Genomic DNA, 21,371 nt, shown 5'->3' with positions numbered 1-21,371 from the left:
TTTAAAGGGGTCCAACTCCTCCAACCTGTCTCTACTGTTTGATAAGCAAAGCTAAAGTAAACGGGGCCCTTTGGGTCCCAGGTAGCCCGCTGTTATTGAAAAGTTTGATCTTTTCCTCGCGCGCTCCCGTAGGACGCACGCTCGCTCCCGAGCTCGGCGGGCGCGCACCCCGCATGCTCGCTCGTTCCCGGTGCCTCCCACTGCGCAGGCGCACTCCCGTCCTCCAGCCCCACCCGCTCACACACCTCCCAGCCTCTGGCTTGCGCCCCGCGGGCAGCCATTGCGCACGCTCACCCGACCGGCCTCCCGAACTCCGCTCCTCCACCGCTATGCACGGCGCATGCTCCATGCGGAGGTTCCACCCTCTCCTCGCTCTGGCAGGCACGCATTGCGCATGCTCGCATTTCCGCAGCTCTAGGACTGCCACGCCGCCATGGGCCGCGCCTCTAAAAATCCTAAACGCAGAAAGAGCTCGGGCGGTACGGCCGCCACAGCCCCTCCCTCGTCCTCACCGCAGCCGCTCGGCCCCACCAAAGCCTCCTGCAAAAGCTCCGAGGGCCGCGGGGCGCGCGTGGCTAGCGGCGGCGTCGCCTCGTGATGACATCGTCGCGATGACGCGACGCAGTGACGTGAACGCGGGCGCCCTTGTTTGGGAGCGCGGCCGGCGCGCCCGTTTTGAAGCTGCCCTGAGCAGCGCGGGCCGGACCGCGCCCCCTCCTCGGTCCCCGCGCCCCGCGAGTCCGCGCAGTTCCCGAGGCGCGGGCCCTGTTCCCTGCGCCGCGCCCCCTCAGCGGGCCGTGCTCGCATCACCGAGGTCGGTCCGGGGCGGACCGAAGCCCCCGGGGCGGGGCGGGGCGCGGGCGTCCGGGGGCGCCGCGGGCCCAGCCCCCGCCATGCCGCCCGGCAAAGTGCTGCAGCCGGTCCTGAAGATGAAGGTGGACGAGCTGTTCCTGTACTGGCTCAGCGAGGCCAGCACGCAGCGGATGCTGCAGGACTGCCTGCGCCGGATCAAGGCGCCCGGGCGGGACCAGCCGACCCCGGGGGACGGGGAGCAGCCCGGGGCCTGGCCCACAGCCCCGCTCGCCGCCCCCCGGCCCAGCGGGCTCGAACCCCCGGGAACCCCCGGGCCGGGCCCTGCGCTGCCCCTGGGCGCCGCCTCCAGCCCCAGGAACGCGCCCCACGTTCGAGGCACCCGTAGATCCGCAGGGACGAGAGTAGTAAGTTACTCTTCCTTCTGCTAACAACTGCGCAGGTGGCTCTGGTCGCATAGTGGGCGTGTGGCTGCGCGATGGAGGCTGGTGGGCGAGCGTCAGACCCCAAAACGGTTTCATATTGAGTCTGTTCCCCGCCCCGACCCCCCCCACCACACACATACAGACAAGAAAGTCCCACGTACTGAACATTCCGTCATTGACAGTTGTTAACCTAAAAATCACACAATTTATAAAGGTAGAAAGGCTTCCTATTTTATTTTATTTTATTATTTTAATTTGTTTTAATTTTGAGACAGAGTTTTGCTCTGTTGCCCAGGCTGGAGTACGATGGCGCGATCTTGGCTCACTGCAACCTCTGCCTCCCAGGTTCAAGCGATTCTCCTGCCTCAGGCTCCCGAGGAGCTGGGACTTACAGGCACGTGCCACCACGCCTGGCTGATGTTGTATTTTTAGTAGAGACTGGGTTTCCCCCATGTGGGCCAGGCTGGTCTCGAACTCCTGACCTCAAGTGATCCTCCCGCCTTGGCCTCCCAAAGTGCTGGGATTTCAGACGTGAGTCACTGCGCCTGGTCCGTTTTTTATTTATTTTACAATTCTTTGGAGACAGGGTCTTGCTCTGTCTCCTAGGCTGGAGTGCAGTGGCGCAAACACAGTTGGACTTCCTGCCTCAGCCTCCCCAGTAGCTGGGATTACAGGCGTGCACCATCACGCCAGGCTAATTTTTGTTTATTTATTTATTTATTTATTTTTGCAGAGACGAGGTCTTGCTATGTTACCTAGAGTGCTCTGGAATTCCTGGGTCCAAGCAATCCTCCCGCTTCGGCCTCCCAAAATCCCACTGTATTTCTTAGAAGAAACGCCATTTATTTCATAGAAGGTGATTATACACCGCAGGTGAGAAGCGCAGCCTCTGGCTAATGTACCTGTAATCTCAGCTACCCGGGAGGCTGAGGCAGGAGAATCACTGGAACCCAGGAGGCAGAGGCTGCACTCCAGCCTGGGCACCAGAGCAAGACTCCATCTCAAAAAAAAAAAAAAAAAAAAAAAAAAGAAAACTAAAAACAAGCACTTGGAGGGAAGAAAAGATGAGACGGGAATTTATGCTGAGTGGGTTGGCCAAGTGTATATATTCAAGAAGTTATAGGAAGAGCTATGGATATTCACCAAGGGTGTCCTGACGCATGGGTATTGAACAAACATGCATGTTACCTACTCCCGAGTTCACCTTGGAGCGGAGACTTAACATTTAAATGCATTATGGTTAGGCCCCCTAGGTCAAAAGGTGAAGCAACTCTGCAGCCTCTGTCAACCGGCCAGAACCAGTCCGTGGTGAGTAGTTACCAGGATAAAGTGATTGCAATCAGTTTTTTTTTTTTTTTTTTTTTTTTGAGACAGATTCTCACTCTCACCCAGGCTGAGATGCAATGGTGCAATCTCAGCTCACTGCAACCTCCGCCTCCCGGGTTCAAGCGATTCTCCTCCCTCAGCCTCCCGAGTAGCTGTGATTACAGGCGCACACCACCACCCCCGGCTAATTTTTGTATTTTTAGTAGAGGCAGGCTTTCACCTTGTTGGCTAGACTGGTCTCAAACTCCTGACCTCAGGTGATCCACCCGCCTCAGCCTCTCAAAGTGCTGGGATGACAGGCGTGAGCCACCACACCTGGCCTGGAATCAGTCTTTTCCCAGTCAAAGCTGTAGTTACGGCTGGTGGAACAGAGGGGTCTGTTCATCAGGATCTGACAGGAAGCTGCAGGTGTTTTAATATTGTTTATATTGGTCAGGCATGGTGACTCACGCCTGTGATTCCAGCATTTGGGAGTTGGAGGCAGGCAGATCACTTGAGTTCAGGAGTTCGAGACCAGCCTGGGCAACATGGCGAAACCCCATCTCTGCTAAAAATACACAAATTAGCCAGGCGTGGTGGCGCACCTGAAGTCTCAGCTACTCAGGAGGCTGAGGCAGGAGAAATGCTTGAAGCTGGGAGTCGGAGATTACTGTGAGCTGAGATTGCACCACTGCTCACCAGCCTGAGCAACAGAGGAAGGCCCTGTCTCAAAAAAAAAAAAAAAGTATATATATATATATAGAGAGAGAGAGAGAGAGAGAGTCTTCTTGCGTGCGCGAGCTTGAGGCCAAGATAAGCAATAGAGAAAAAGAAAAACATCCTTTATTTACTTCTTGAATCTCAAAAACGAGTTTCTGCAGAGGTCTCTAGTGAATAACCTAAAAGGACATTTAGCTGCTGGAGAAAAAGAAATGCTTTGGCAGTTGGAACTGTAGTTTATTCTTTAAGTGTAGGCGGTGTGTGACTTAACCCTCACCTCAGGTGGCCCTTGGTCTTGTTTGCCACAGAGTCTGTTCTGTCAGTCTTACGATGTTGATTTTAACCTTTTTGCTGGTTGGTTGTGTTTAAACTGCCAAAGCAGGAGGGGTATAATAAGGTGTGTCCAAACTCCCATCCAGTCATGACTGGGAACTTAGTTGTTTTTTTGTTTTTTTGGTTTTTTTTTTTTTTTTTTTTTTTTTTTTTTGAGACGGAGTCTCGCTCTGTCCCCCAGGCTGGAGTGCAGTGGCGCGATCTCGGCTCACTGCAAGCTCCGCCTCCCGGGTTCACGCCATTCTCCTGCCTCAGCCTCCCAAGTAGCTGGGACTACAGGCGCCCGCCACCACGCCCGGCTAATTTTTTTGTATTTTTAGTAGAGACGGGGTTTCACCGTGTTAGCCGGGATGGTCTTGATCTCCTGACCTCGTGATCCGCCCGCCTCGGCCTCCCAAAGTTTTGGGATTACAGGTGTGAGCCACCGTGCCCGCCGACAGCCGTGTATTTTTAAAAATGCTTTCTGTCGTTTTATACTATGCAGTTTAAAGCGATAAAACATTGCTTCCAGATGTTATAGAAACACGTATGGCTGGTGCGTCTGGTGTCCCGAGAATACTACGGAAGCCTGAAATATTCAGAATGTTCCGTCGGAACTTGTTTATACCATTTGAAAATTTTCAGCTGAACACCAGCTTTCCATCAGCAGCACTAATAAGCATGTCACAAAGTGATATTTACGTAGCACCACAGTTTTCCAGCCAAAATGGACCAGCCTCTCTACTTGCTGAGTGAGAGGTGGGTGGCAATCTGAGGTGAGCTCCTTGCGTTCTAAATTACCGGTGGTTGTCCGATGTCTTCTGATGGATCTAGAACATTTTCCAAAAGTACGTGTCGATGAAAATGTGAACTAGAGCTAGAGGCAGCTTGGAGACCGTCTGGCTCAGGCCCTCCAGATCCCGATCCAGGAGGGGACTCAGGGCCCCAGGACGCATCTCTTGAGCTCCGGCCCAGTGCACTTTCCCAGTGAGCTGCAAAACCTGAAGCACCTTAGGAACTCTTGCCCAAATCCCTCATTTACTGAGGAGGTTGAGAGGAGGGCCAGGACTCAAGAAGCATGTGCTAGTAATGATGGTTCCCCTCCATGACTTGCTTTCTCAGTGGGATCGCTAATGAGCTGCCATTTTGTCCTTAAACGTGTTGAATGACAGCCAGACGCTAAGGTAAATGCTTGAATTGTGTGACTTTGCAAGAATTCTCCTAGGGCTGGGACTATTGTGACTTTGCATGAATTCTCCTAGGGCTGGGAATATTGACGGAAGGTCAGGTCTGTGCAAACGAGGCCATTTGGGTGCATGTGAGAGGATGATATATTCTGTAAATCAGGCAAGAAGCCTCTAACAAGTGGAAATTAAGTTCCAAAGGTGTTCAAAGCAGGGAGACATCATTTCTCTCCTGGAGAAAGTTTTGAGGAGGAAGTGAGTAGTGGAACTTGAGAAATGCACTGAGTTTATTGGGTATAGGGGGCAGGACCAAGGGAGGCGGTGAAAATGAGACCAGGCTCAGTCGCTCACACCTGAATTCCTAGCACTTTGGGAGGCTGAGGTGGACGGATCACCTGAGGTCAGGAGTTCGAGATCAACCTGGCCAACATGGTGAAACCCTGTCTCTACTAAAAATACAAAAATTAGCTGGGTGTGGTGGTGGGCACCTGTAATCCCAGCTACTCTGGAGGCTGAGGCAGGAGAATCACTTGAACCTGGGAGGCGGAGATTGCAGTGAGCTGAAATTGTGCCACTGCACTCCAGCCTGGGTGACAAGAGTGAGACACTCTGTCTCAAAAAAAAAAAAAAAAGAAAAAAAAAGATGAGATGTTCAGGTCACGTTGAGGGACTGGAGTGGTCTGACCGGAGAAGCAGAAGGAAGGATGCGTGTGGACCGTGGGCATGGCGGCCAGGGTGTGCAGGGTGCAGGATTCTGCACTTAGGAGATGGCAAGAATTTTCAAAAAGCAGTGACTGACCTTGTTTGGGACTAAAAGTTTACCTTAAACATGTCTACGTGTTTGGAACCTATGGCTTACTTCAGCTGAATCTCAAGAAGTGAATAACTTAGAAAGATGTGTCTGTTCATTGGGACAAAAAAGATGAGCTTGGGCTGGGCACGGTGGCTCATGCCTGTGATCCCAGCACTTTGGGAGGCCGAGGCGGGCGGATCACAAGGTCAGGAGATAGAGACCATCTTGGCTAACACAGTGAAACCCTGTCTCTACTAAAGATACAGAAAATTAGCCGGGCGTGGTGGCGGGTGCCTGTAGTCCCAGCTACTCCGGAGGCTGAGGCAGGAGAATGGCATGAACCTGGGTGGCAGAGCTTGCAGTGAGCTGAGATCGCGCCACTGCACTCCAGCCTGGGTGACAGAGCAAGACTCTGTCTCAAAAAAAAAAAAAAAAAAAAAAAGATGAGCTTGTTCCTGTCCATCCCATATACAGAATACGCGAGGCCACGTTAACAGTGAAGGATGCAGTTCCATGCTACAAACTCTGGCTGGGGAGGGGCGATGCTGGGGTCAGAGGAAGAGATTTTCATAAATAAAGCAGCTTTTTCTCACCCACACATGTACAGAATGGAGTATGAGCTGTCAGGAGGGTTCACGCTAGGTCCATTGAACTCCCCAGCCAAGGGTGAAAGGAACGGCATTGTTTTACGTTACCTACGCCTTCATCGTTACTGAGCAGAGAGATTGCATTCTGTGTTTGAAAGGGGTGCTTGCAGTGGCTCCTTCCCGTCTTTGGGGAAGAGAAACTGGTACAAATTAGAAAATGTGAGCATTGGCCGGGTGCAGTGGCTCAATCCCAGCACTTTGGGAGGCCAAGGAGGGAGGATCCCTTGAGGCCAGGAGTTTGAGCCCAGCCTGGGCAACATAGCGAGACTCCCCCATCTCTGTAAAATAGTAAAATCAGCCAGGCATGGTGGTTCATGCCTGAAGTCTCAGCTGCTTGTGAGGCTGAGGCAGGAAGATCCCAGGAGTTCGAGGCTGCAGTGAGCTATGTTTGTGCCAGTGCACTCCCGCCGGGGCAACAAAGTGAGACTCTGTCTCTAAAAAAAAAAAAAAGAAAGAAAACGCCAGTATCGATGGGCTGATGCTGCAAGCCAGGGTGCTTCTGCTAGGGGGGACCCTAAATGCATCTTTAAAGTAAGTTCTTACAAGGGGAATTAAGAACCTCATGTGGATGAGCTGCTTTTTTTTTTTTTTTTTTTTTTTTTGAGATGGAGTTTCACTCTTGTTGCCCAGGCTGCAGTGCAATGACGCAATTTCGGCTCACTACAACCTCCACCTCCTGCAGTTCAAGTGAGTCTCCTGCCTCAGCCTCCCGAGTAGCTGGGATTACAGGCACCCGCCACCACGCCCGGCTAGTTTTGTATTTTTAGTAGAGATGGGGTTTCACTATGTTGGTCAGGCTGGTCTTGAACTCCTGACCTCAGGTGATCCACCCGCCCCAGCCTCCCAGAGTGCTGGGATGACAGACGAGGGCAACCACACCCGGCCAGTACTGCACGATTTTGATTGCATTTCCCTGCGGCCTGGTGACGCCGAGGAATTTTCAGGTGCTTATTTGCCATTCATGTGGTTCCCACTGTCGAGCGTCTGTTCAGGTCGTGTGTTTGCTTTTTAAATTGGGTTATGTTATCACTGAGTTGCGAGAGCTCTTTACATACAACTGTTGGCAAGTCCTTGGTAAGACAATGTGGTGTGTGCATATGTCTCTTGAGTCTGGCTTGCTTTTTGTTTTCTTCAGTGTCTCAAAGAGCAAAAGTGTTTAGTTTTTCAACTTTTTTCTTTTATGACTCTTATTTTTTGTGTCTTATTACAAAATGTTTGCATACCACAAGGTGTCAAATATTTTCTCCTATTTATCTTGAGAAAGCAGTGTGGTTTTAGGTTTGCGTTTCGGCCTGTGATCCAGTTCAGGTCAGTTTTTCTGCGTGGTATGAGGTGAGGTATCTGGATGACCCCAGCACCGTATATTGAACAGTCTTTTCTCCCCCCGTGGAATTGTGTTGTTGAAAGTCAGTTGAGTACGTACGTCTGTTTTATTATTATTTCCATCCCATTGCTGTATGTGCATCCCCTCACCTTCATGGCACTTTCCAGATTAGTGTAACTTTCTAGCAAATTTTGAAAGCAGATACTGTGAGTCCAAGCCTGTTCTTTAAAAATTGCTTTCCAGCAAGAAAAGCCTGTTGGAATTTTGATTGGGATTGCTTTGAATCTGTGGATCAATTTAGGATAATTGATACCTTAACAGTATTTTCCAATCCACAAACAAAGGACTTTCCATTCATTTAGGTTTTGTTCAGCAACGTTGTGTACTTCCCCGGGTACACCTCTTGCACCTCCTTGATTAAGTTTCTATCTGTTTATTTAGTTCTTCTCTAATTTCTGGAAGCTACTCAGTTTTGGTGTCCACCTAACCTGTGATTTTTATCAGACCGGGTGCCAGCATTCTAGAACATTAGAACAGGGTATTTGGAGATAAACACGGGCGTGCGTGTGCATCACACACACAGGTGCATACACACAAACACACAGGTGCATACACACACACAGGTGCATATGCACAAACACAGGTGCATACACACATAGGTGCATACACACATAGGTGCATACACAGGTACATACACACATAGGTGCATACACACAGGTGCATAACAGGTGCATACACACGCATACACACATACATAGGTCCATACACACAGATACATACACACAGGTGCATACACATACATAGGTCCATACACACACACACACATAGGTGCATACACACAGGTGCATACACAGGTGCATACACACGCATACACACATACATAGGTCCATACACACAGGTACATGCACACATAGGTGCATACACACACATAGGTGCATACACACAGGTGCACACACAGGTGCATACACACACACGTAGGTGCATACACACACACAGGTGCATACACACAAACACACAGGTGCATACACACACACAGGTGCATGTACATACAGGTGTGGTTATCTTAACGTTTCATTAGAAGTTCTTAACAAACATGTTGTAAGACAAAAGCACCTAGAACCCTCAGGGCAGGAGCTCAGGGTTTCTGAAGGTTTCGTGCGGGAGCCTTGAGCTTGCCCAGGGACTGTAGCTTTTGTACAGGTGCGTGCCTGTCTGCGTTCAGTTCTCACTGCCTTCGTAACAACGACCTATTCACGTTTTCATAGTGGGCACCGATGAGAGTCTCGTTGTGAGGAGGAAGGAAGGTGTCGAAAACCCTTCTTGCAACCTCCGAGAATCTGCAACCATGGAAACTGTGTAAAGAGCTTCATCCCTCCCTCCCCTTCTGTTGACAGAGAGAACCATGCCGTTTCCTGAGATGAGGTGGACGGGTTTTGAATCCGCTGGAGCCTGTCCTCTCAGGGCCTTTGAAACAGGGAGGAAGCCGTGCTCTGCAGACGGCACCTGCAGGGTGAGGACAGGATTCTGGGCCATCTTCCTGTCTCATAGGCTTGCCTGTTACTAGCTATGCTTTTAGCTTTGGATGTTCAGAAAAACTTTTTCTCACAAAGGGCAGGTCGCCTTCGTAAGCCTTTCAAATCTGGGATTTCAGAAAAGCCATTATGTTTGCTCATGGAAGACACATTTTTATCCTAAAACAAGCCGTCTGAACAAATGTATGTTTAGTGAGAATGAAAAGTGAAGAGATTTTTATGAAAATTTTGCATAAAGGTCTTCTGGGCATTTTAGGAGCCTTTAGAGGTTGATGGTAAGATTGTGTCCCGACAGCAGAGGGACGGTGGAGATTCGGGTGCCGTGAGGGGCTTCATCGGCCCAGATGGCAATGTTGTCTCTTCAGAGTAGGAATTTGGGGGGAACAGGCTGAAAACAGGCCTCGCAGATTCCGTGCTGGCCTGTGGTGCAAAAACAATGCTATGACGGCCCCGTCCCTGTACACAGTAGTGTATAGACAGCCCTGTGGTGGTCCTGTCAAGTGTGGACGGCCCGTCCCTGTACACAGTAGTGTATAGACAGCCCCATGGCGGCCCCACTGTAGACGGCCCGTCCCTGCATACAGTAGTGTATAGACAGCCCCATGGTGGCCCCACTGGGTGTGGATGGCCCGTCCCTGTACACAGTAGTGTATAGACAGCCCCACGGCGGACCCACTGGGTGTGGACGGCCCGTCCCTGCATACAGTAGTGTATAGACAGCCCCATGGTGGCCCCACTGGGTGTGGACGGCCCGTCCCTGTACACAGTAGTGTATAGACAGCCCCATGGTGGCCCCACTGGGTGTGGACGGCCCGTCCCTGTACACAGTAGTGTATAGACAGCCCCATGGCGGCCCCACTGGGTGTGGACGGCCCGTCCCTGCATACAGTAGTGTATAGACAGCCCCATGGCGGCCCCACTGTAGACGGCCCGTCCCTGTACACAGTAGTGTATAGACAGCCCCATGGTGGCCCCACTGGGTGTGGACGGCCCGTCCCTGTACACAGTAGTGTATAGACAGCCCCATGGCGGCCCCACTGTGGACGGCCCGTCCCTGTACACAGTAGTGTATAGACAGCCCCATGGTGGCCCCACTGGGTGTGGACGGCCCGTCCCTGTACACAGTAGTGTATAGACAGCCCCATGGCGGCCCCACTGTGGACGGCCCGTCCCTGCATACAGTAGTGTATAGACAGCCCCATGGCGGCCCCACTGGGTGTGGACGGCCCGTCCCTGTACACAGTAGTGTATAGACAGCCCCATGGCGGCCCCACTGTGGACGGCCCGTCCCTGCATACAGTAGTGTATAGACAGCCCCATGGTGGCCCCACTGGGTGTGGACGGCCCGTCCCTGTACACAGTAGTGTATAGACAGCCCCATGGCGGCCCCACTGTGGACGGCCCGTCCCTGCATACAGTAGTGTATAGACAGCCCCATGGTGGCCCCACTGGGTGTGGACGGCCCGTCCCTGTACACAGTAGTGTATAGACAGCCCCATGGCGGCCCCACTGGGTGTGGACGGCCCGTCCCTGCATACAGTAGTGTATAGACAGCCCCATGGCGGCCCCACTGGGTGTGGACGGCCCGTCCCTGCATACAGTAGTGTATAGACAGCCCCATGGCGGCCCCACTGGGTGTGGACGGCCCGTCCCTGCATACAGTAGTGTATAGACAGCCCCATGGCGGCCCCACTGTGGACGGCCCGTCCCTGTATACAGTAGTGTATAGACAGCCCCATGGCGGCCCCACTGTGGACGGCCCGTCCCTGTACACAGTAGTGTATAGACAGCCCCATGGTGGCCCCACTGGGTGTGGACGGCCCGTCCCTGTACACAGTAGTGTATAGACAGCCCCATGGTGGCCCCACTGGGTGTGGATGGCCCGTCCCTGCATACAGTAGTGTATAGACAGCCCCATGGCGGCCCCACTGGGTGTGGACGGCCCGTCCCTGCATACAGTAGTGTATAGACAGCCCCATGGCGGCCCCACTGGGTGTGGACGGCCCGTCCCTGCATACAGTAGTGTATAGACAGCCCCATGGCGGCCCCACTGTGGACGGCCCGTCCCTGTACACGGTAGTGGATGGCCCCATGGGGGCTCTGTCGAGTGTGGACAGCCCTGTCCCTCCCCCATCCGGTGTAGACAGCCCTGTGGCTGCACTGGGGGCGGGTGGTGCGGGTTCTGCATCGGGACAGGACGCAAGGGCTCCAGGGGGGCAGTGGGACTGCATCCAGAGGTGGTTCGAGGGCTCCAGGTCAGAGTCTAAATCTCTGCCTATGTGTGCACTTCAGGATTTTGAGGCTGTTTTCCAAAAGTCTTTTTTTTTTTTTTTTCCTTTTTGAGACGAAGTCTCGCTCTTGTCCCCCAGGCTGCAGTGCAGTGGCGCAATCTCGGCTCACTGCAACCTCTGCCTTCTGAGTTCAAGCGATTCTTCTCCCTCAGCCTCCCAAGTAGCTGGGATGACAGGCACCCGCCACCATGCCCAGCTAATTTTGTATTTTTAGTAGAGACAGGGTTTCACCATGTTGGCCTGGCTGGTCTCGAACTCCTGACCTCATGATCTGCCTGCCTTGACCTCCCAAAGTGCTGGGATTACAGGCATGAGCCACTGTGCCTGGCTGTGTTCCAAAAGTCTTGTACGGAAAGAGGAAACCTGGCAGTAAAGTCCACAGGGGTGTGTGTCACCCGCCGTGGCAGGACAGGGCGTGTGTCACCTGGCGTGGCAGGACAGGGCATGTTGCCTGAGTGTGAGGATCGCGCCCGTTGGCTCGCTTCCCCCGCATTTTGGGTTTGATCTTTGACTTTCGGAGGGAGATCACAGGAGGTTGGCTCCCAATCTGGTTCCCCTAGCTGCGTTTGGGAGGCCGTCCGTGTGTAGTGCTGATATGAACTGAAGGGGCGGCACCTCTGCCCTGTGAGTTTGCGCCCCACATCGTGGGTGACTGGGCGGCACCTCTGTCCTGTGAGTTTGCGCCCCGCATCGTGGGTGACGGGACGGCACCTCTGCCCTGTGAGTTTGTGCCCCACATCATGGGTTACTGGGCCGCACCTCTGCCCTGTGAGTTTGCATCCTGCATCGTGGGTGACTGGGCGGCACCTCTGCCCTGTGAGTTTGCATCCTGCATCGTGGGTGACTGGGCAGCACCTCTGCCCTGTGAGTTTGCGCCCCGCATCGTGGGTGACTGGGCGGCACCTCTGCCCTGTGAGTTTGCGCCCCGCATCGTGGGTTACTGGGTGCACTTGTTTAAATCGTCTCCTGGTGGTTTGAGCACATTCCCTCTGGTGCTGTCTTAAAGCTTCCCTTTGGAGACTTACCGGGGGTCAGAGGCCGACTTCTGAATCCTCAAGGACAGTAAGGAAGTGAGAAGGATGGAGGGATCCGAGGATGGCTGGAGAAGGGAAGGAGGTGGAAGAGAAGGAAGTGGAGAGGGGCGTACCCCTAAGAAGAGTTGGAAGGGGCCTTGCGGGTGGGGGGCTGTGGTGGGCGTCAGAGGTGGTGTGGAAGGTTGCAGGAGAAGAAAAGGCCAGTCTGAGATGGCTGCAGACTTCTGGTTCCAAGTCTAGGACACTCGGAAAAAGGAAAACGATGGAGACAGGAAACAGATCGGGGCTTGCGGGGGTTGGGTGCGTCAGTGCCACACAGACGTTTTTCAGGGCAGGGAAACTCCTCTGCGTGACCCCACAGTGGTAGATCCGTGTCATCCTGCGTTTTTCCAGACTCAACAGAGCGTGCGGCAGCGGGAGAGCCCAGTGCACGCTGTTGACTCGGGGTGATAGTGACCCGTCCAAGGAGGTTTATTGACTGTAACAGATGCAGGCGGTCACGCAGGACCTTCCTGATCGGGGACCCGGGAGGCTTTCTGCTGACAGCGTTCAGCCTGGCAGGGATGTGGCCAGTTTCTGACCCTCAGCCCGAAGGTATCCTGTCTCCTTCCCGGTGGGATCGAGGTGCAGGCCCCCGGAATGTCAGCTCACCCTCATTTAAAGTTGCCCGTCCCCCTTTTCCACCGCCCCTCTTTTCTTGTTCTAAATACGATTGCAAACAAGCGCAGTTATCACAGTGAGCAGTGGCAGAGAAGACGAGATCCTGGATGCCCACTGCAGCTTAGCTGTATTCTAGAAACTCCTGAAGTTTGGGGAGGGGCGGAGATGCCGGCGCGCTTTGATGCCGGGCTGCCGGGATGTCTGGGCTGCCGTGCGTGTTTGTGGAGGCGCAGCTGCACCTGGCGTGCCCTGTGCTCTGGAGGGGCAAGCCGGAGTCGGCACCGAGCCTGCAGCCAGCTCTGGTGTTGTCGTGGAGGGGGGGGACCTCACTTCTCGCGGGGAGCGCCTTCGCCTGGGTCCCCGAGGCCGTCCCCAGGCTCTCTTCTCGGGGACCTGTTGATGCGCGTTCCGCCCAGGCTCTCCTCTCGGGGACCTGTTGATGCGCGTTCCGCCCAGGCTCTCCTCTCGGGGACCTGTTGATGCGCGCTCCAGGGCGAGCCACGTGACGGCTGCCGCGGTGCAGAAAGCGCCCCCTTGCCCGGCCGGACGGCCCAGCCCGGAGCGAACGGGGAGAGGAGAGAAGAGGACCGGAGGGAGCGGAGGGCAGTGCAGGGAGCGGAGAAGGAGGAGAGGAGAGCAGCGCCGGGAGCAGCCGGGTCTGCACAGTCGCGGGTCGGGAGAGGCGGCCGCCCCCACCCCCGGCGCCATGCGCCCTCCTCAGCCTGAGGAATGCGCGCGGCGCGGGCCCCGGCCCCAGAGCGCCTGGCGGGCGACGCATGGAGCGCGCTGAGCCCGGGCCACGCCTGCAGCGCCCCGCCGGCCCCGGCCCGGCCCTGCCCCGAGAGCGCGGCGCCCGGCCCGGCCCGCGGAGAGCCCTGCGCGCCGGCGGCATGCGACTCCGCGAGCGCTCGCTGCGCCAGGACCCCGACCTGCGCCAGGAGCTGGCCTCACTGGCCCGCGGCTGCGACTTCGTGCTGCCCTCTCGGTTCAAGAAGCGGCTGAAGGCCTTCCAGCAGGTCAGCCCCGCGCGCCCCGCGGCTGCCCGACACCGGGCGAGGCCTCCCGGCCCGGCGAGCCCTGCCCTCCCGGCCCCGCGTGGGCCCCCGCTCGCCGCTGCTGGCCGTGCACCCGTTGTTGCGTGGCGGGGCCCAAACGCCAGATTTACAGGGCCAGTTGTGGGCGCAGGGGACCCGCTCGGGCCGCACGCCGCCGAAAACCGGGTGCTGCTCTGTGGGAAGCGGTGCCAAGCTTGTTAGGAAAACCGGGCTTTGAAAAGAGCACTCGCTCCTTTCCCGGGAGTTTTGGCTGTGAGTGCGCGCCTTGCTGTGATCAACCAAGGCGGGTGAGAGCCGTCAGCGCCTGGGAGTGTTCGCTGCAGACAGATTTTTAATTTAAATATACCTTGCATTGCTGGTAATAAACATCGGGAAACTCCTTCACCCTTCGTAAAGGCGTCGGGTGGGTGAAACTTTCCCGGCGTTATTGCAATACCCAGCATTCCTTCCCACTGGCTAACTTAAGAGTCGGTTGAGATATCACTCACATACCGGACTATTTATGCAGCGTGGTTTTATTCAGTAACTCAGTGGCTTTGAAATTTATTTATTTATATTTATTTATTTGAGACGAAGCCTCTCTGTTTCCCAGGCTGGAGTGCAGCGGCGCTATCTCGGCTCACTGCAACCTCCACCTCCTGGGTTCAAGTGATTTTCCTGCTTCAGCCTCCCGAGTAGGGCTAATTTTTGCATTTTTAGTAGGGACGGGGTTTCACCATGTTGGCCAGGCTGGTCTTGAACTCCTGACCTCAGGTGATCGCCCACCTGGGCCTTCCAAAGTGCTGGGAGTAGGGGCGTGAGCCTCCACCCCAGCTGGCTTTGAAATTTAATCTCAGTTCTCATAAGTGCTCAGGGAAGTAAAATTTGTGTCTGTACCCCGTGTATATTGTATGAGTTAGTTTTACGAGTACCATGTGATTTAAACGTGTAAGAGTCTTCCTGTGACAATCCCAGTATAATTTGAGAATTTAGGGTTTGGCTGCGGCCGAATCTGATCCGAATTTCATCCAGACAGGGTGTGCGTGGCGGGCGCCTCACACCCACGTGGCACATCAGACGCGCTTTTCAAACTCAGTTCCAGGAGTCTGGAACTAGTGGCCTAACATCAAGGTGAACCAAGGCATCCTGCTTGAAGGGGGAGGAAGACCCACTTCTTTCTGTTGATATTTTAATTGAAATTTTTTCTGTAAGATCTCACATCAACTTTTGCACTCCTTCGGAGTTTTTGACCTCTGTCTTCCAGGTTTTGACATTTTGCCTGTAAGTGGGTAAGGGCGAGGCTGGTGTCTTTAAAATCCTCTTAACCTGCGAAGAGCGAGATCAGCCTCGTGCGGGATTTGCTCTAGATGGTGGGAGGTGCTGGGCGGTGCGGGCTCGCTGGTCGCAGAGTCAATGAGGTGATTAGCTCGCACGTGGCTGGATGAGGAAGCCCTTCAGCCCTGCAGTGGGGCCCTGGCTCTTCTGTGGGGGGCTGTGGTGACGATGCACCTGTGAGGACTGTTTATTTTTAAAAAGTCAGTTTCTGGGAAATCATGAATTCCGTTTACAGAAGTTTGCTTCATTTTACAGAAAATAGGTTTCCACGTTTTTAGGGAGTGAGGACAGACGTGTGAAATGCATGTTGTCTGAGGGGTGGTGGAGGAATTACAGGCATATTTGGGGGTATTTGTGGGGGTGGTGTTGGGGGAGAAGGGGACGTTTCCTGGCTGCTTTCACTCCGCGCATGAGTGTGGGCTCTGTCTGTTGGGTCCACCCCACTTGGACACACCCTCAGGGTTGTCAGGGAGCACCCGTGTTGGAGCCACTGGACGTGTTGGGGTGCCGCACCTCCGCCTTCGGACGCTCCCGGCCGGGCAGCACGGTACTGTTTTCAGGGGTCCTCTGACGGGCACAGCCTTCCACGGCCAACGTTGGCCGCACCCACGAGCCCCTGGCGGGTGCTCCTGAGCTTGATCTTCTGACTGTGCGACGTCCCACCTGGGCTTCTGTTCCCACTAACCCCCTGGCGGGTGCTGCCTGCCCCGATGGTGAACCCAAGCTCCTCCTCCTCCCTGCCACTGCCCACTTCCCTGTCACCGGCATCCTTGACAAACCAAACTCGGGGGGTGGGGGCGTTCAGCGACCGCCGGCCTTGGGAACGGAACAGCATGCGTTCACGCCGTGGGTCCGGGGAGGCTCCCGTGTGACGATGGCGTGTTACACGTACTCTCACCGTGGGTCCGGGGAGGCTCCCGTGTGACGATGGCGTGTTACACGGCTCATGCTCTCACTGTAGGACCCAGCATGTACCTGGAGTGGGGCCGTGCAGCTGCTTGGCTGAGCTCTTCTTGCCGGAGCCACTGCCTGCGCCTCCTGCCCAGGGATTCTCGGGCCTTCTGTCCCCGGGCAACAGCAGGACAGCTCAGACCTTGTTCCCAGCCCAGGACAGCTGTGCTGCCTAGCCTGGCCCTCCCCGCCTGGGGAGTGACTCTCCCGCTCCCCACACACTGACTCAGCACACAGACGCCCCTCTTCACCTGTCCTGGTCACACAGACACTGTCCGGCGTCCCCACGGGGTCCTTCGGGTGGACGCACAGACCCTACACGGCACCACGCATGGCTGAAAGCGCCGTCCCCTACGCGGCAGCCCCGCTGTACTTGGAACTGACTTCAGCGTGGTGACAGCCTGGGCTCTGGGCGTCCCTGACGCACCTCCTGCTCTCACCGCCAGGGCACGTGCCGTTCCCCTCCCAAGGCCAGTGGTCACCAAAACCCTTGCAGCCTTTGGTTTGGCCAGGACGCTGCCCAGGATGCCACTCCCTGGGCAGTGGCAGGGAGAAGGCAGGGCTTGGGTTCCCCACCTGGCAGGGAGCTGCAGCAAGGGGGGTTAACGGGAAACAGAAGCCCGGGTGGGAACGTCCACACAGAAGACCAAGCTCAGGAGCATCCGCCAGGGGCTTGTGGACGCAGGGAGGGTGCCGGATCCTCCCCTCGCTGTGTTGCGCGGCATCCACCGTCACCCCTTGGCTGGTGGACAGAATGATCCCCACGTCCCCCAGCCCAGCCTTCCGAGCTCTGTGGAGACTCACGCCTCGCTGCAGCCGTGGCTGCAGGCGCCAGTGCCTGGGCTGCAGGTGTGGGTGCAGGCCCCAGCCGACGTCTCTCAGCGTCCGTTGAGGCCCGGTTGCTCGGCTGCAGTCATGTGTCTGAGTGAATGTTAGCCCACGTGAGCTCTGGCCTACTCAGACACCTGCACCTGCTGCGTTTCTGTGTTGACCCCTCCACACCAGTTCTCCCTCTTTGCTAGAGAGGGGATTTTTAAACCCACACGTGGGGCCTCTCATCTCCGTGTTCGGCTCCTCTGTGTAAACACCGACCTTTTTGACTCCTGTGTTTAGCCGTCCAGCGTGCGGTTTGCAGGTGTAGCTGGCAGCCCTCTACCAGCCCTCTCAGAGGGTCCCTGGGAGTCAAGTGCTGGGCCGAGAAGAATGCTCAGAGCTTGCAGCAGGCCCTGCCTTCCAGGGGGTGGCCGTCATCTGGGTGGGCGAGGGGCTCAGCTGGAATCCATGAGTGTGCGTCCCGGCCAAACCCCCCGTCCCTGATTCCATACCACAGCCTCCCGTGCTTCCGCCTCCCGCTGCAGAGTGGGGGCCGCTGCAGAGCGGGGGCTCCTGGGGGCACGGCTGTGCGTTGCAGCCCGTACTGAGCGTCCCTTCCGCCGGCCCCCTGCTGCTCCGGCACCTCCTCTGTGGCTTTGATCGTGGTGTCCGGTCCTGCTGCCGTGGGGGCGAGGGTCATTTCTGCTGGTCACCGCGCCCTGCCTGCTGTGCGCACCCTCTGCACATGCGGGGGTCTGCCCGAGGCTGGTGTCGCGAGAGGATGTGTCACGGTGCACGTGGCCTGTGTTCTCGGGGTACACTCACCTGCACCCATCAAGCGCACGCACTTCTACGCAAAAACAGGCAGCCTCAGTGTTAGGCTCAGCCTTTGTTTTTGGTCGTATATGGACGTGTTTTGCAAAACTGTGGGTGTACTCTGGAAGGGCGACACATGTATCTGTGACTTCTGGAATTGTGATGAGTCAGGGAGCTGCCTTCTCAGTGCCCTCAACAGAAATAGCTTGTTGGGAGTCAGGGTGTCGCCTTTATCAGTGCGCTTTGGGTGACGGGCTCTTTACGAAGTTCTTTTTAAAGTACACGTACTGAGGAGGATTTAAAGTGGATGACCTGGCCGCCACAGGCCCCTCTGGTTTGTCTGAACTTTTTAATGAACAGGCGGCTGGCTTTAGAATTCTTCTTCCACATACATGCAGCTGTTTTTGCTCCTTCTGTGTTTACCGTAGATGCCTGGCCTCACCGGCTACGTTTGGGGCAGGGCAGCAGTCCCTGTGATTCCTTCAGAACCCCCTGAGACCTGCAGCTCAGCCCGAGAGGTGGCCAGTTCCCAAGTGAGCTGTGTGTGTTGAAAAGAATGTGTGCTCTGCAGCTGTGCTGGGGCCGAGTCTATTTCTGTCCATGAGATTAAGCTTGTAAATCTTCTGTGCCCGCATGGGGTGGTTGTGTTGTTTGTTCCATCTCTCGTCTATTAGTGCCCATGGTGGGTGGTCCCGGCTTTCCCCCCGTCGGTGCCCAGGGTGGGTGGTCCTGGCCTTCCCCCGGTCGGTGCCCAAGGTGGGTGGTCCCGGCCTTCCCCCCGTCAGTGCCCGGGGTGGGTGGTCCCGGCCTTCCCCGTGTCGGTGCCCAAGGTGGGTGGTCCCGGCCTTCCCCCCGTCGGTGCCCAAGGTGGGTGGTCCCGGCCTTCCCCCCGTCGGTGCCCAGGGTGGGTGGTCCCGGCCTTCCCCCGGTCGGTGCCCAGGGTGGGTGGTCCCGGCCTTCCCCCCGTCGGTGCCCAGGGTGGGTGGTCCCGGCCTTCCCCCGGTCGGTGCCCGGGGTGGGTGGTCCCGGCCTTCCCCCCGTCGGTGCCCGGGGTGGGTGGTCCCGTCCTTCCCCCCGTCGGTGCCCAAGGTGGGTGGTCCCGGCCTTCCCCCCGTCGGTGCCCGGGGTGGGTGGTCCCGGCCTTCCCCCCCGTCAGTGCCCGGGGTGGGTGGTCCCGGCCTTCCCCGTGTCGGTGCCCAAGGTGGGTGGTCCCGGCCTTCCCCCCGTCGGTGCCCGGGGTGGGTGGTCCCGGCCTTCCCCGTGTCGGTGCCCAAGGTGGGTGGTCCCGGCCTTCCCCCCGTCGGTGCCCAAGGTGGGTGGTCCCGGCCTTCCCCGTGTCTGTGCCCGGGGTGGGTGGTCCCGGCCTTCCCCCCGTCAGTGCCCGGGGTGGGTGATCCCGGCCTTCCCCCCGTCAGTGCCCAAGGTGGGTGGTCCCGGCCTTCCCCGTGTCTGTGCCCAGGGTGGGTGGTCCCGGCCTTCCCTGTGTCTGTGCCCGGGGTGGGTGGGCTCCGCCTTGCCTAGCGGGCTCAGTTTGTGTCCAGTGGTGTTTACTTGATCAGTGCCGAGGCTGCGTTGTCAGGCATGGATAAAGTTAGCATCAGCCTGTCTTCCCCTGACTGACCTCTTCAGCGTTCCTTGGTGGCCTGTCTGTCTCCAGGTCTGTCCATCACCTTGTGTCACTTCATGGATGTTAATACAGCGACACCAGCTTTCTCTACTGTCTGCCTGCTCTTTTTCCATCTCAAAAAAAAATGTGTAGCCTCTGGGTCCTTAAGTCACATATATCTCCTGTCTTTCTGTCCTCTGTGTCTCCCATGTACGTGAATGCTGTTTTCTTTCTGCAGTCAGACCTTTGTCTTGTAACTAGAGCACTCGGTGCATTGAGGTCGATGTTGCCTGCTCATCCGTGTGATGGACTGTGACCGTCTCATCCTGCACCTCTGTCTCCTGCTCTTTTTCAGCTTGGTCGCCTTTTCTCTCGTTTGGAGTACACGCTTCCTACTAGCTCACTGTTTATCCTACAAATGTCAATGGCTGGCCGGGCACGGGGCCTCACACCTGTGATCCCAGCGCCTTGGGAGGCTGAGGCAGGAGAATCGCTGGAGGCCAGGAGTTCAAGACCAGCCAGCACAACATAGCGAGACCCCGTCTCTATAAAGAAAAAAAAAAGGAACGTCGACTAAATTTTTCAAAGCCCAATATTAATCAGTATCTTTTCCTCCAACTCACAAACCGTCTCACACTCATCCAGTCAGCATGTCACTGACAGGCTGTTGTATTGACTTTTTTTTTTTAATTGAACATACGTTGTTTTCACTGATTTATGTTTTTTAAATTGAACATACATTGTTATCACTGATTTATGTGGTCAGCTGCCGAGGTTTTCCCACTCATTACCGCTGACCTGCTCTTCATCCCTTCTTTCAATTCCAACCTTCCCTTTGGGAGCTCTTGGCTTCTCCCTGCTGCATTTCCTCAGCTTTTGCCCCGTAGAGTGTCTGTTAATGGGGTGCATGCTCTGTAAATTTGGGGCTAAAAATGTCCAAGTATTCATCTCACTTTTTTTTTTTTGAGACAGAGTCTCACTCTGTCACCCAGGCTGGAGGACAGTGGTGCGACCTCAGCTCACCGCACCCTCCGCCTCCCGGGTTTAAGCGATTCTCCTGCCTCAGCCTCTCAAGTAGCTGGGATTACAGGCATGCGCCACCACACCTGGTTAATCGTTTGTTTTGTTTTGAGACAGAGTCTCACTCTGTCGCCCAGGCTGGAGTGCAGTAGTGCGATCTCAGCTCACTGCAACCTCTGCCTCCTGTGTTGAAGCGATTCTCCTGCCTCAGCCTCTCAAGTAGCTGGGATTACAGGCATGCGCCACCACACCTGGTTAATCGTTTGTTTTGTTTTGAGACAGAGTCTCACTCTGTCGCCCAGGCTGGAGTGCAGTGGTGCGATCTCAGCTCACTGCAACCTCTGCCTCCTGTGTTGAAGCGATTCTCCTGCCTCAGCCTCCCGAGTAGCTGGGAGTACAGGCACCCTCCACCACACCTGGTTAATCGTTTGTTTTGTTTTGAGACAGAGTCTCACTCTGTCGCCCAGGCTGGAGTGCAGTAGTGCGATCTCAGCTCACTGCACCCTCCGCCTCCTGTGTTGAAGCGATTCTCCTGCCTCAGCCTCTCGAGTAGCTGGGAGTACAGGCACCCTCCACCACACCTGGTTAATCGTTTGTTTTGTTTTGAGACAGAGTCTCACTCTGTCGCCCAGGCTGGAGTGCAGTAGTGCGATCTCAGCTCACTGCACCCTCCGCCTCCTGTGTTGAAGCGATTCTCCTGCCTCAGCCTCTCGAGTAGCTGGGAGTACAGGCATGCGCCACCACACCTGGTTAATCGTT

At 55.8% G+C, this 21,371-nt stretch overlaps 1 protein-coding gene across 7 annotated transcripts in view, besides 2 other annotated features; it reads left to right on the top strand.

Moving 5' to 3' along the window:
* Positions 678 to 21,371, top strand: part of PPP2R3B (protein phosphatase 2 regulatory subunit B''beta) — a 52,975-nt gene continuing 32,281 nt past the window's right edge. For 4 of the 7 annotated variants that reach the window (NM_013239.5, XM_047442001.1, XM_047442004.1 and 1 more), the window contains exon 1: positions 678 to 1,217. In NM_013239.5, the coding sequence (NP_037371.2) occupies positions 894 to 1,217 (324 nt within the window). In that variant the 5' untranslated portion in view covers positions 678 to 893. Of the gene's footprint in view, positions 1,218 to 2,479; positions 2,544 to 11,375; positions 14,054 to 21,371 lie in introns of those variants that run through there. The other 3 variants (XM_047442006.1, XM_047442002.1, XM_047442005.1) reach the window with 2 other exon arrangements.
* Positions 11,545 to 12,435: an enhancer, noted in NCBI's record as "H3K27ac-H3K4me1 hESC enhancer chrX:335885-336775 (GRCh37/hg19 assembly coordinates)". NCBI's record gives its function as "activates a minimal SCP1, AML or CMV promoter by ChIP-STARR-seq in primed H9 embryonic stem cells {active_cell/tissue: H9 hESC(primed)}" and the evidence as "EXISTENCE:reporter gene assay evidence [ECO:0000049][PMID:30033119]".
* Positions 14,430 to 14,612: a silencer, noted in NCBI's record as "fragment chrX:333708-333890 (GRCh37/hg19 assembly coordinates)". NCBI's record gives its function as "represses an EF-1alpha promoter that drives an FKBP-Casp9 reporter gene in an ReSE screen in K562 erythroleukemia cells {active_cell/tissue: K562}" and the evidence as "EXISTENCE:reporter gene assay evidence [ECO:0000049][PMID:32094911]".

The sequence above is a fragment of the Homo sapiens genome, chromosome X (genome assembly GCF_000001405.40).
Source record: "Homo sapiens chromosome X, GRCh38.p14 Primary Assembly".
In the NCBI taxonomy this organism is placed as follows: Eukaryota; Metazoa; Chordata; class Mammalia; order Primates; family Hominidae; genus Homo; species Homo sapiens.
The sequence above is the reverse complement of the archived record's forward strand: the minus strand, read 5'-3'. Positions and strand labels throughout refer to the sequence as shown.